The 12,697-nt window shown below is 36.3% G+C and overlaps 1 protein-coding gene across 2 annotated transcripts in view, besides 1 other annotated feature; it reads left to right on the top strand.

Moving 5' to 3' along the window:
- The window catches only part of PURG (purine rich element binding protein G), a 37,555-nt gene that overhangs the window by 13,726 nt on the left and 11,132 nt on the right, over positions 1 to 12,697 (top strand). The gene's annotated exons all lie outside the window — the stretch shown is intronic.
- Positions 7,462 to 7,662: a silencer, noted in NCBI's record as "peak6979 fragment used in MPRA reporter construct". NCBI's record gives its function as "represses an SCP1 promoter by STARR-seq MPRAs in K562 erythroleukemia cells {active_cell/tissue: K562}" and the evidence as "EXISTENCE:reporter gene assay evidence [ECO:0000049][PMID:32103011]".

Here is a 12,697-nt window from a genome sequence, read left to right as displayed (position 1 = left end):
CTGGGCATGGTAGCTCACACCTGTAATCCCAACACTTTGGGAGGCAGAGGCAGGCAGATCATTTGAGGTCAGGAGTTCAAGATCAGCTTGACCTACATAGTGAAACCCCGTCTCTACTAAAATACAAAAATTAGCCAGGCGTGTTGGCAGGCTCCTGTAATCCCAGCAACTTGGAAGGCTGAGGCAGGAGAATCACTTGAACACAGGAAGTGGAGATTGCAGTGAGCCAAGATTGAGCCACTAGACTCCAGCCTGGGCAACAGAGCAAGACTCCCTCTAAAAAAAAAAAAAAAAAAAAAAAAATTAGAGGTGTTTCACCTGAACACTCATTGAGCCCATTTTCTATAACTAACATATTTTTAAATAATTTATTCTATGCTTGACAACCTTGTAGATATTCTGTACTATAATTAATATGTTGATCAAAATTAAAGCCATATATATATATATATATATATATATATATATATTTTTTTTTTTTTTTTTTTTTTTTTTTTTTTTTTTTTTGAGACAGAGTCTCGCTCTGTCACCCAGGCTGGAGTGCAGTGGCGCGATCTCGGCTCACTGCAAGCTCCGCCTCCCGGGTTCATGCCATTCTCCTGCCTCAGCCTCCCGAGTAGCTGGGACTACAGGCGCCCGCCACAACGCCTAATTTTTTCTATTCTTTAGTAGAGACGGGTTTTCACCATGTTAGCCAGAATGGTCTCGATCTCCTGACCTCGTGATCCGCCCGCCTCAGCCTCCCAATAATAAAACCATATTTTATGTCTAAATCTATATAATATCTATAACTATATATAAACCTTAATGCTGTCATTCTAGTGGATTACATTGTATTGAAGTATTAAATTAATTCATACATAGACATTTGGCAGTTCTGCAAGTTCATTGACTTCTCTTAACAGCTACTACCTTTGAATGATTAGCACTCCAGAACACTGAATGAGTTCCTAATTGTGAAAATGATTAACTAACTGCTGACATAACAGAGATAGTCACAAACTCAAATGGATCATTACAGGCAATGTAACTTTTTTAAAAATTCTCTATTCATTTGCATTATGGCTACAAGATAAATTTTAGATTTAAAAAAATTAAGTGTTAGAATTATACTTTGAGTAGGCTTCAGGCAGAATAAATTTATAGTAGACTTCAGCTCAACATTAGGGCAAACTTTAAGGATTGCATGACTTCTCTGCTCCTGGAATTAATTATTTAGGCACGCACTGAATGTGGGATGCATAAAGGGAATTAATAAATCAGAAAAGGTGAATTGTTATGGCTCAGATTCTTCTCCACTCTGAGGGATTCAGAATTTATTGGAAATAATCATTGGAACTTTTGCCTTCAGGCCTTCTGTTAATTTACTGGTTTGGATAAAGAAGTGTGATTTCAAATTTTCTAATATTATTGTGAAAACATATAAAGAAAAGAAATCCTTCTTCCCATCCTTTGTTATTGCAAAACAACGTAAGAACTAGGTTTTAAATTTTCATGAACTTTATTAATTAAATGACTAGTTAAATAGAATTTATGAAATTTATTCTGTAAGATTAAGTCTACCTTTTATAATCTTCAAAGAAACTTTTCACTTTCAATCTGTTTTCAAAAATATGAAGGAATAAATTTAGTATTTATAGTGCTATTTCAAAAGTACCTGCTGTCGGTTTATTTAGAATGACACAAGAGGCAATAGGGTAAATTGGAAAACCAAATTATTGGATATTATCAAATTTTTTCTTTATAAAATTCACATTAAATTCTGTTTAAAAGTCGAAACATCTATAATATCTTTCTCCATTTTTTCTTGCACTGCTAATTAAGGTGGAAAGAAGCAACATCGTTTGCTAATTTCATCTTAAATTTTTTGTTTTAGACAACAAGTTTCCAAGTAAGTTCATTATTGCTACAAATGCAATCATATCTAAATTCAGGACCTAGTGAATTCATATGAAACTCGATTCTGCCTGGTGGTGTCCACTTTTTTCTTGTCACTTCTTCTAATCATCTGTGCTTTCTTGTGATACTGTAACATTTCCAGATTTCAAGTGGGCAAATAGTAGCTTTTATGGAGAGATCTGAGTGATTTAAATGTTATCACACAAACATCTATAAACTATATTGCACATTTCTAAATATTTGGCTAAGCAAATTTTATTCCTCCAGATAAATATTACATACCCTTTATATATAATAGATAGATATAGATATAGATATATAATCTCTTATAGAGAGTATGTGTAATATATATTAAACATACATATATTGCACATGCATATATATACAATTTTTTACATATATATGTAAAAATTTTTAAAAGAGATCCCAATCCTATTCACCTTTTTCTTGTCCCTGGAGAAGTAGTGGTAAATGGGTTTCATCTCGCTTGTATTTGCAATTGATTGGCTGCCCTAAAGTGCTGTGTTTGTATCTACAGGGAGAGGGAAAAAACAGTGTTCATGCCAAATATTTGCTATTTATCATTCCTGCTTTAGAGACATAAAAGTTTTCATTGTAGCTCTAAAAATTTCTAGCTTAGCCAGATAGCTGGCAGTTGCAGCACAAACTACCATGTGACTCACCTGGAATGTGTCTCTTCTAATATGTGAAAGAGATTATTTGAAATCTCTTTCCTTTTTTCTTTTTTCTTTTGATCATCTCTCCTTTAAAAGAGCAGAGCATCTCCACTATGCCTCTGAGAAACTAGAATGATGGCCATGATGATGTCATCAAAGATACTCTTAAGTATTAAACTCTACATTTGCTTCTAATGAGTTCTAACCCCCATTAAAATGACAGCAGTTGCATCCTTTAAAATTTAGTCCAGTGATTCTCAAACACAAGTGTGCAGGTGTATTAAATAAAAATACAGGTTTGGTCCCCATCCTCAGAGATTCTGATTTGATTGGTTCAAGAGAGGGGTTCAGAAATTGGCATTTTTCATCGTCTTACTCATTCTGATACAAGTGGTCTGGAAGCCACTCTTTGTCATTCACTTAGACTGTGGACTTGCGTTCTTTCTTTTTTTTTTTTTTTTTTTTTTTTTTTTGGTTCTTGGTAGACTTGCATTCTTTCTTCCATATCGTTTTTCCAGCACAAATTGCTTAAGTTTTAAATACTGTCAGTCATGACACCATGGAATGATGATTTTTTTGGTTACAATATTAATAAGTAGTATCCAGGGCTCACTTTATTTTATTTATTTATTTATCTATCTATGTATTTATTTATCTATTTATTTATTTATTTTTGAGACAGAGTCTCACTCTGTTGCCCAGGCTGGGGTGCAGTGGTGCGATCTCAGCTCACTGCAACCTCCACCTCCCAGGTTCAAGTGATTCTCATGCCTCGGCCTCCTGAGTAGCTGGGACTGCAGGCATGTGCCACTGTGCCTGGCTAATTTTTGTATTTTTGATAGAGACAGGGTTTCACCATGTTGGCCAGGCTGGTGTCAAACTCCTAGCCTCAGCTGACCTGCCCGCCTTGGCCTCCCAAAGTGCTGGAATTACAGGTGTGAGCCACTGTGCCTGGCCTTGGTTTGTTTGTATGTTTTTGTCGTTGTTTGTTTGTTTGTTTTTGAGACAGGGTCTTGTTCTGTCACACAAGCTGGAGTGCAGTGACCCAATCACAGCTCACTGCAGCCTCGACTTGGCAGGCACAAGCAGTCCTCCCACCTCAGCCTCCCAAGTAGCTGGGACCATAGGTGCATGCCACCATGCCTGGCGAATTTTTTTTTATTTTTTGTAATGACAGCATCTCTTTATGTTGACCCAGCTGGTGTTAAAGTCCTGGGCTCAAGCATTTCTCCCACCTCAGCCTTCCAAAGTGCTGGGATTACAGGCATGAGGCACTGCACCCGGCCAGGGCTCACTTTAAACACAGAGAGGCTAAATGCATAAATCCAGGTGTTTAAGATTTTGTATGCTATCATATTGGCCAGCTTTCTGGGCAGTGATTACTGGAAATGCCAGTTTCTCACCCGCCTCCTAAACTCAAGTTCTGTCTGTCTGGTCTTACTTGACATCAGTCCACTGGTTTCATACTCCCTGGATTTCACAACCAAACATTCAGAGTCTTCAGAGCCAAGCGACTGGTCTTTCAGTCTCAAAAGTTGACCCTTTACGTCTCAAATGACATTTCTCAACCTCTTTTTTTTTTAAAATATATATGCAGTATAAACCTATCATTTATCAGGAGTAGAAAAAAATTGCCTTAGTCAATCTAGTTAATCTTTGAATGCCTCACTTCTGGTGGTGGTGTGTTTGTTTGTTTGTGTGTTTGTTTTCAATTGTGGTTAAAAAAATGCATAGCATAAAATTTACCATCTTAAGCATTTCTAAGTGTTCAGTAATGTTGTGTTCAGTAGCGTTAAGTATATTCACCTTGTCATGCAACCAATCTCCAGAACTTTTTTGTCCTGCAAAACTGAAAAGCTATATCCATTGAACAACTCCCCATCTTCCTTTCCCCCGCAAGCCTGGCAACTACCATTACACTTTCTTCTCAACCTTTTCTTTAAAATAAGCAATATGTTTTCTTAACCTTTCTCCCATCCATAATGGGTTTACAGTTATTGCTATTTAGCTCTCCAAGTATAAAGCTTATCTCCTGTATTGTTAGAATTCTCACATGCAAAAAGATTTACAATTACAAAGCAATTGTGCTAATAAGATATGCTTATAATCTTTGAGTGAAGGTATTTTATCCTGGAAGCTTTTCCACTGATTTACAGGGGGAGGTAAGCCTTTATTCCTCTTGAGACCTATGGATCTCACTTTATGCTTCCTGGCTGGTTTGGTATTTTATTTGTTTGTTGAAGGTTTAAGTTTAGAGTTACCAGGGCAATTAGGCTTAAATCCTAGAATTTCCTTGGCTTTTTCCTGTCTACATTCTAAGACTGTTTTACCATAACACTTTATAACGTAAGTAGTAGATTGGAAGTTTTTCTGGAATTTGACAAATTAGTGTTTACTAAATGATTTAATAATCTTTGCTTATTCAGTATAAAATGGTTTACCTTTAAACAGCTTTAATAGAAACACAATTTGGGAGGAAATAGGTAAAAAATAAAAATGTATTTTTCTGCAAATGAACTGTTTCAAATGTTATTTTCAAAATCTTTGGCAGTAAGAAAATACTCAACCCGAGAAATAAATTTTTTAAACTCTTATTCTGTAAAAGTTTTTCTTTTGAAACATTTCTCTTCCTCTGTTATTAAAATTTTTTTAAGAAATCAATAAAAGCTTAAAGTCTTATAAGCAATACACATCTAAATAACCAAAAATGCTATAATTATGAGTATGCTGCTTATGATCCTCCCATAGGGAAAAACATCTGTCTTTTCTTGGCCTAAATTATTTCAGAGCTAGCACAAAAACTGATTGATCATGACTCTTGGATAATGATAACTAAGTCTTCGTTTCATGAATTTAACAATTTGTATCAGTGCTACCTTATGAGTTTTTCAGAAAAATGCTATTTGTATTGAACCATTTTAAATAATTCCATAATCTGGAATAATTCAGATTTTTTTAATGATCTGCTGCAACATATTGGTATTATTGAATCTCATTTTTTCTTTGATTTCCATTATAAAATTAGAAATATTTTCTGGGAGAAAAAATACTCCTTGAGTTGAAAAGATTTAGTGAAGGAGTTGTGTTGCAGCTGATTCAGTAATGTTCCAGGCAATTAACCTTTTTTTGTTTTCAGCGCTCCTCTCACTCTTTAAGATCTTTCCTCATTGATCATCATACCACCCCAAAATCACAGAAGTTTATTTAATTCCATGCGTTCCTCAGAGCACGTGATGTCAGAACTTAACCTCCCCTCAATTTTCAGCTTCTAACCTAAGCTGGACACTAATATTTTGCCAGTAGGAACCTTTTATTTTTTGAGACAGTTTCGCTCTTGTTGCCCAGGCTGGAGTGCAGTGGCGCGACCTCGGCTCACTGCAACCTCCGCCTCCTGGGTTCAAGTGATTCTCCTGCTTCAGCCTCCTGAATAACTGGGATTACAGGCGCCCGCCACCATGCCTGGCTAATTTTGTGTTTTTAGTAGAGACGGAAGTTTCACCATGTTGGCCGGGCTAGTCTCGAACTCCTGCCTCAGGTAATCCTCCTGCCTCGTGCTTCCAAAGTGCTGGGATTACAGGCATGAGCCGCCGCGCCCGGCCAGGAACCTTTATATGGTACAATGAATTCCAGCCTGAAAATTCCCCAAGTTCTGAGCCTTTACTTCATACATATTTACCAAATATATCAATTATTATATTAAACTTAGAATGAAGAATGACTGTAAGATTTATAATGACTAAAGTTAGTTTGCATTATTTTTCTTCAAGCGTTATTAAACCGTACTCCTCTTTAAGCAAGTTTTTGGGTCACTAGGTAACTATGTGATTTGGTTTGTTGATCACCATTTATTGTTTGACTCACTTTTTCAAAGGCCCAAATATTATATTTAATGACATACCAAGCTCTAATTCAAGCAGTGCCCTCTGTTAAGGTGATTTGCATCTGACTTGAAGCATATTAAATAAAATCTACATTTTATTTGATGCAAATGTTTTATATTTATATAAAAAATTAATCTTGGGTAAACACAACTTGATTCTTAAATTAGATTCTTAATAACTCAATTCTAAATGATTACTTATTAAATTTGTCACAAAATAACTATAAAGTGAACGTGAATGCTACATTACTCAGTATATCTATGCTATAATTAATAAACTCCAAAAATTAGTTGTGTATTATTTGGACTACTATTTCAATCATTCAGAAATTTGTTTTAAAAAATCCTTGCAGTCTTGCTGCTGACTTCATAGCGTGCAGTAGTGTGATATGGAGATGATGCACTGTCTTTCAGAAGCCTTGGCTCTATGCCTTCTAGCTGGGCCTGGGGCAAGTCATTTAGCCTCTGTGGACCCCAGCTTGCTTATCCATAAATTGAGGGAATTGGATCAGAGTGATGATCTCTAAGAACCCCTTCAATTTCTGTATCCCTGAAGTCAGTGAAACTTCTCTTAAAGTTAGTTTCTACTTTCTTCTTTGGCCTTTTCTCATTTTCTTCCCACTCCCCTTGGTTTCGTCTCTCATCTGACATTTATTGACCATCCTTTCCTTCTTGGCATGGTTCATATTTAGTTATGGCCACTTTACAGTGTTGCAGTATGCTGCTTCTCTGCCTAATTTGCCCAGTTCCCATTTTTACCCTGCCATTTTAATTTTACATATAAATTATCTTGGAACTAACACAAAAACTAGTTGATCATGATATATTATATATATAATCAATAAGACTTATCTTTTGGCCCTGTACACAAAAGTTTTAAAGAGGCAATTCTTCCAGTTCCAAGAGATTTTTTTAGACACACAACCTAAAACTTGTTGGAGTATATTTTAAACTTAAGTTTCCCATTTGAAAAATCCTAACTCCTTAACTTGCATTTAAGTTTAAAAGCAGAGACAGTTTCTTCCTCTTTTGTATTCCCCTCTCCACCTTGCACTGGGCTGATTACTTAAATCATCTCTTTTCACTTAATCACCAGCATTCCTGTTCCTGTTTTGTCTTTGAAATCTTGTTGCTTCAGAATCACGGTACTTAACAGACAAATCTAAATGGCGACAATTGTTAATGAAAGCGATAGTTTTAAAACCTAACCAAAAATGCTATGTCATCTTTATTTCAAAGATGACTCACAATTAAAGGATGATTTGTTGCCTGCACACCCTAAATTTTATTTCAGAAATATTCTTTCCCTTGCTTAATGGATAAGTGATGTTGTTCCTCTACTCATTCAATGGACATTGAGTAGCTACTTTTTGCCAGGTTCTGTGCTAGGGTCTAGGGATACAATAACTTAGGAAAGACAAATATTTCACTGCCATTAGCTTTAAGTGTGCCATGTCCAAAGTTATTTGATTCAAAGCAGCTTTTGGAGCCTAATTACAGTATCATTTTGTTCATTCAACAGATATTTATTTGATTATCTGCCATGTGCTAGACAGTTTGTTGGTACATATGGAAGTGTATTTAAAGCTATCTAGTATAAAATGCTATGCATTATTTTTCCCTTATCAATTTATCCTTTAAATATGATTATCTACATACTGTCATAGTGCTCAAAATATATTTCATTGATGCAGATTTAGAGAAATACAATGATACTATTTTAAACAATAATTCTGTCTTCCTCATTCCAAATCTGCCTTGATGTCCTAGGGTGAAAATAACTATTCTGTTTCATTTCATGTGCCATTGTGTTCAAGTGGTAATGACTACCTGAGTCCTAGGTTGGAGATGATTGTGAAGCTCCATTCAGGCCCATGGTAAAAGACTGCGATGATTTCTGTATGTTGATGGGGCAGTTAGATGAGGAAAGCAAGGAGTAGCTATATACATGTCACATGTTAGCCCTTCCTGCCCCAGGCTTTTGTATTCATCATCACTAATTTTATTTCACTCTCATTGCATATTCAGTATATTCACAAATTCTTTTTCTCCTCATATGTTTGGATTGACAAAAATCCATCAGTGTTCTCAGCTATGATGACTATCTCACCAATGTCTTAGCCAACCAAATGAGATTTACTAACACCTCTGTGTCAGTAAATCCACAGTTGTAATAATTTTCACTGTAGAGACATTGCAATGAAGACAATTAATAGATAAATTCAGTTAATCATGAGTACCAAAAATTTGTCCTGAAAGTTTTCCATAACTGGTCATTAATTATGAAATATTTTCTAATTCAATTAAATATAAAAAGAATGTGTAATTTTAAATTATAATAATTTACATATACGTTAAAATCATTTTCCAAGTTCTTTTTTCTATTATACCTCATTTTACCCTGATGAAACTCCTGATTTAGATTAGTTCAATATCACTGTCCCCACTTAACAGATGAAGAAAACCAAAGCCCAGCAGGTGAAATGGTTTGCTGTAATCACTTAGCTGCCTAATAAAAATACCAGGGTTTTAACAAGCCCACTGCTCATTGAAGCCTTTTATATTAATAATAACATAGAAATTTAAAGAGGTAAACTTGAAATCAAAATTTGGCAAAATTAAGCATATATGTTTATAGCTCATTTAAAGAGTTTTTTTGAAATGCATTCTAGGTATTTTGTTGCTTTCATCACATCTTTAGGCTCAATTCTGCACTCAGTAAACTCTTGGTTTTGGCCCTGGCAGAAGGCCTAGCAACTCATTGGTGCTCATGTCTGTGCACCAGCTGCTTGCCGACCTCAGCCTCTGCCTCAAACTCTGAGCCTTTGTCCTCTGTGCTTAAGACTCCCTGCCTGAGCTTCCCACCTTAGCTAACCTTCCAGAACTTGACGTTTCCTCACCTGTTAACCCAAGTCTTGTCATGGCACCTGCTTTGCAGAATAGCCCTCTAAAAGTGATATCGTTTAGAGGATTTAAGATGTAAAACTACATTTGCATAATAAGTTTGGTTAATTAAACAGCGAGTAAATCTTTTCCCTGCATTCCATTTTTTATTATTTTTTTATTTTTTATTTTTTCAAGACAGGGTCTTGCTTTGTCACCCAGGCCGGAGTGCAGTGGTGCAGTGACGGCTCACTGCAGCCTTGACTTCTGGGGCTTAAGTGATCCTCCCGCCTCAGACTCCTGAGTAGCTGGTACTACAGGCATGCACCACCATGCCCAGCTATTTTTCCTATTTTTTGTGGACACAGGGTCTCACTATGTTCCCTAGACTGGTTTTCCCTCTACATGCTTATGAACAAGAGATAAATGACCACATGATAAGTTAGAAGCAGACTTTTTCAGAAACCTGTTTGAAAGGAATGATCCAGGTTTTATGAAATCAACTCAAGAACCCACTGTTCTTCATCTGCATCAGTACCATCATTACAGTTGTTGACAGTGAAGGCCCTAGAGCACTGCAGTATTCTCATTTGTGCATGCAAAATTTAATCACATTTATTATGTTGTATTTATTAAAGCAGAAAATCGAAATAATACATGTTAGAAATATTTCCATTTCAATAGGATTAAAAGCATACTGTTAGCTAGGAATTGCTGTTAAGTAAATGACTTCGCTCCCTGACATTCCCAGTTAACCATGGTTTTGTAGCATCACTGAGGAACTGGCAGGCTAAATTCTGAATTCTTACATGCAGACTGAATTATTCTGGTGGTTTTTGTTGTTTTGTTTTGTTTTGTTTTGTTTTGAGACAGAGTCTTACTCTGTCACCCAGGCTAGAGTGCAGTGGCACGATCTCAGCTCACTGCAACCTCCACCTCCCGGGTTCAAGTACTTCTCCCACCCTAGCCCCCCGAGTAGCTGGGACTACAGGTGTATGTCACCACGCCCAGCTAATTTTTGTATTCTTTGGAAGAGATGGGGTTTCACTGTGTTGGCCAGACTGGTCTTGAACTCCTGACCTCAAGTGATCCACCCATTTTGACCTCCCAAAGTGCTGGGATTACAAGTGTGAGCCACTGCACCTGTCCGAATTATTCTGTTTCTGTATTTATGGCCACAGAAGTTTCATATTGGCTAAATCTGCACAAATTATCATATAGTTATAAATATAAAAGTCAGATCAATATGGCTAAGATTATCACAGAGGAGCTTAATAGGAGTTCCACACTTGCCTTTTGCCGGGAGAAGAAAACAACAATGACTTTAATCCACTTCCTCTACCCCCTTAAGCAATGGCAGTAATTTCAGCTCTATTTTTAGGTATTGGATCCCCTAAAGTTATCAGGCAATCTCAGTGGCCTAGTATAAAGTGCAAACAGAACAGACCTTGGTGTCAGCCAGTCCTGGGTTCAAGTCCAAATTCTGTCATTTATTGTGAAATTTGGAGCAGTTTATGTAACTGTATAGAGTTGTGAGAATTCATTCATCATTTATTGTATATTCATCAATCACCTACTATGTGCTGGTCAATCTTTAAAGTTCAGGGAATTATATTGATAACAAAACATAAAGTTCCCTGCCCTCACAGAACCTAGAGTAAACCAGAATTCTCTTAAAAAAGTTAAATGCAACCAGGTGCAGTGGCTCACGCCTGTAATCCCAGCACTTTGGGAGGCCTTGGTGGGCCTCACTTGAGGTCAGGCATTCAAGACCAGCCTGGCCAACATGGTGAAACCCCATCTTTACTAAAAATACAAAAATTAACCAGGCGTGGTGGCACGCAGCTGTAATCCCAGCTACTCGGGAGGCTGAGTCAGGAGAATCGCTTGAACCCAGGAGGCGGAGGTTGCAGTGGCAGCGAGCCGAGATCATGCCACTGCACTCCAGGCTGGGCAACAGAGCAAGATTCCATCTCAAAAAACAGAAAGTTAAATGCCTTCAGGTACATAAGGCTGTTAACGAAATGTCACATAATCAAAGCATTTAACAAATATTAGTTAACATCATTATTAATTCTTCCCAACCCACGAAATGGATGGTTCCCTGGAAAGTATAACAACATTATGCAAAGTTCAAAGGGAGCCTCCTTTTACCATAGGAACCTTTAGGTGTAGCAGCTGCAAGGGAATTGGGCTGCTTATAATCTCATAAAACTGTTTTCAGTCAAATATAAAAGTGCACAATTGTGCAGGCAAAAATTTCTTGCACAGGAAACAAAAAGCACTAACTATAAGAGAAAAAAACAATACATTAGACTCCATCAAAATTAAAATTTCCTACTCATCCAAAGACACCATTAAGAAAATGAATAAACTATCCACAGACTGGAAAATAATTGAAGCATAGATTTATTCCTGGAGGAAATCAGAACAGCTTTGTTTTTTTCTTTTTTTAAAAAAAGAGAATCATTAGGCTGTTTGCATGATTGAGGGACCAATTGCTGCAGCGCTAAAAGTATTACATTCACCTACTTCCTAGTACCTACAGTTTTTCTCATCTAGATCTACCATCGATTTTGATGGTTTTTTGCCTGAAGGTGTCTTTGGGGGTAATATGACACCCTCATTTTACAAGAGATAGGAAAAATATTTGTATGACTTTGACATCATTTAACTAGTCTTTCAGAACTTGAACTATATTAAGTGGTACTTCCACTGTTCAGTGTCTGTTTTTCTTATTACACTGATTTTGCTTCAGAATCAGTGAGATTATATAGACGTCATTCAGAATATTTGTTTTTATCCTTCAACTCGAAGAGTTTTCTCACCTCTTTATTTTCAAGTTGAAAACATTATTATAAGAGTATGTTAGCGGGTCATTTGACTCTGAAAAAAATAGCTTTTTAAAGGTTGATCACACTTTAATCTTCAATTTCAGGATAGTAAAGAACCATTATAATTTAGGCCCCAGTGACTGTCATAAAACAGCTTTTACCAGACCACCATCTTAATACTGATATTTTCCTCTTTCATATTTGAACTATATTTTTTTCTATAATCTAGCTCTTAGAACTCTATTTTCCTTTGATACTAATGATTCCTCTTGCCCTCAGAAATGTTTACATGAAACAGCACATGACTGTCCTTTTTGTTGATCCCAAAACTTTTTATTGTTCATTCTAGAGAGGCAAATAATGTCCTTCAGTGTCACTAATTGAGTTTTTAAAAGGAAGATTTGATAGCTAAGAATCTGTTGTCTTGTATCAATTTATCATTTTTACAATTGGGTCAAGATATATTTATGCAATTTTTATGTTAATAGCATAATAGCAGTAGCAATATAATGTGTGGCTTGGGA

The sequence above is a fragment of the Homo sapiens genome, chromosome 8, assembly GCF_000001405.40.
Source record: "Homo sapiens chromosome 8, GRCh38.p14 Primary Assembly".
Lineage (NCBI taxonomy): Eukaryota > Metazoa > Chordata > Mammalia > Primates > Hominidae > Homo > Homo sapiens.
Note: the sequence above shows the minus strand (reverse complement) of the source record. Positions and strands in the feature narration are given on the sequence as shown.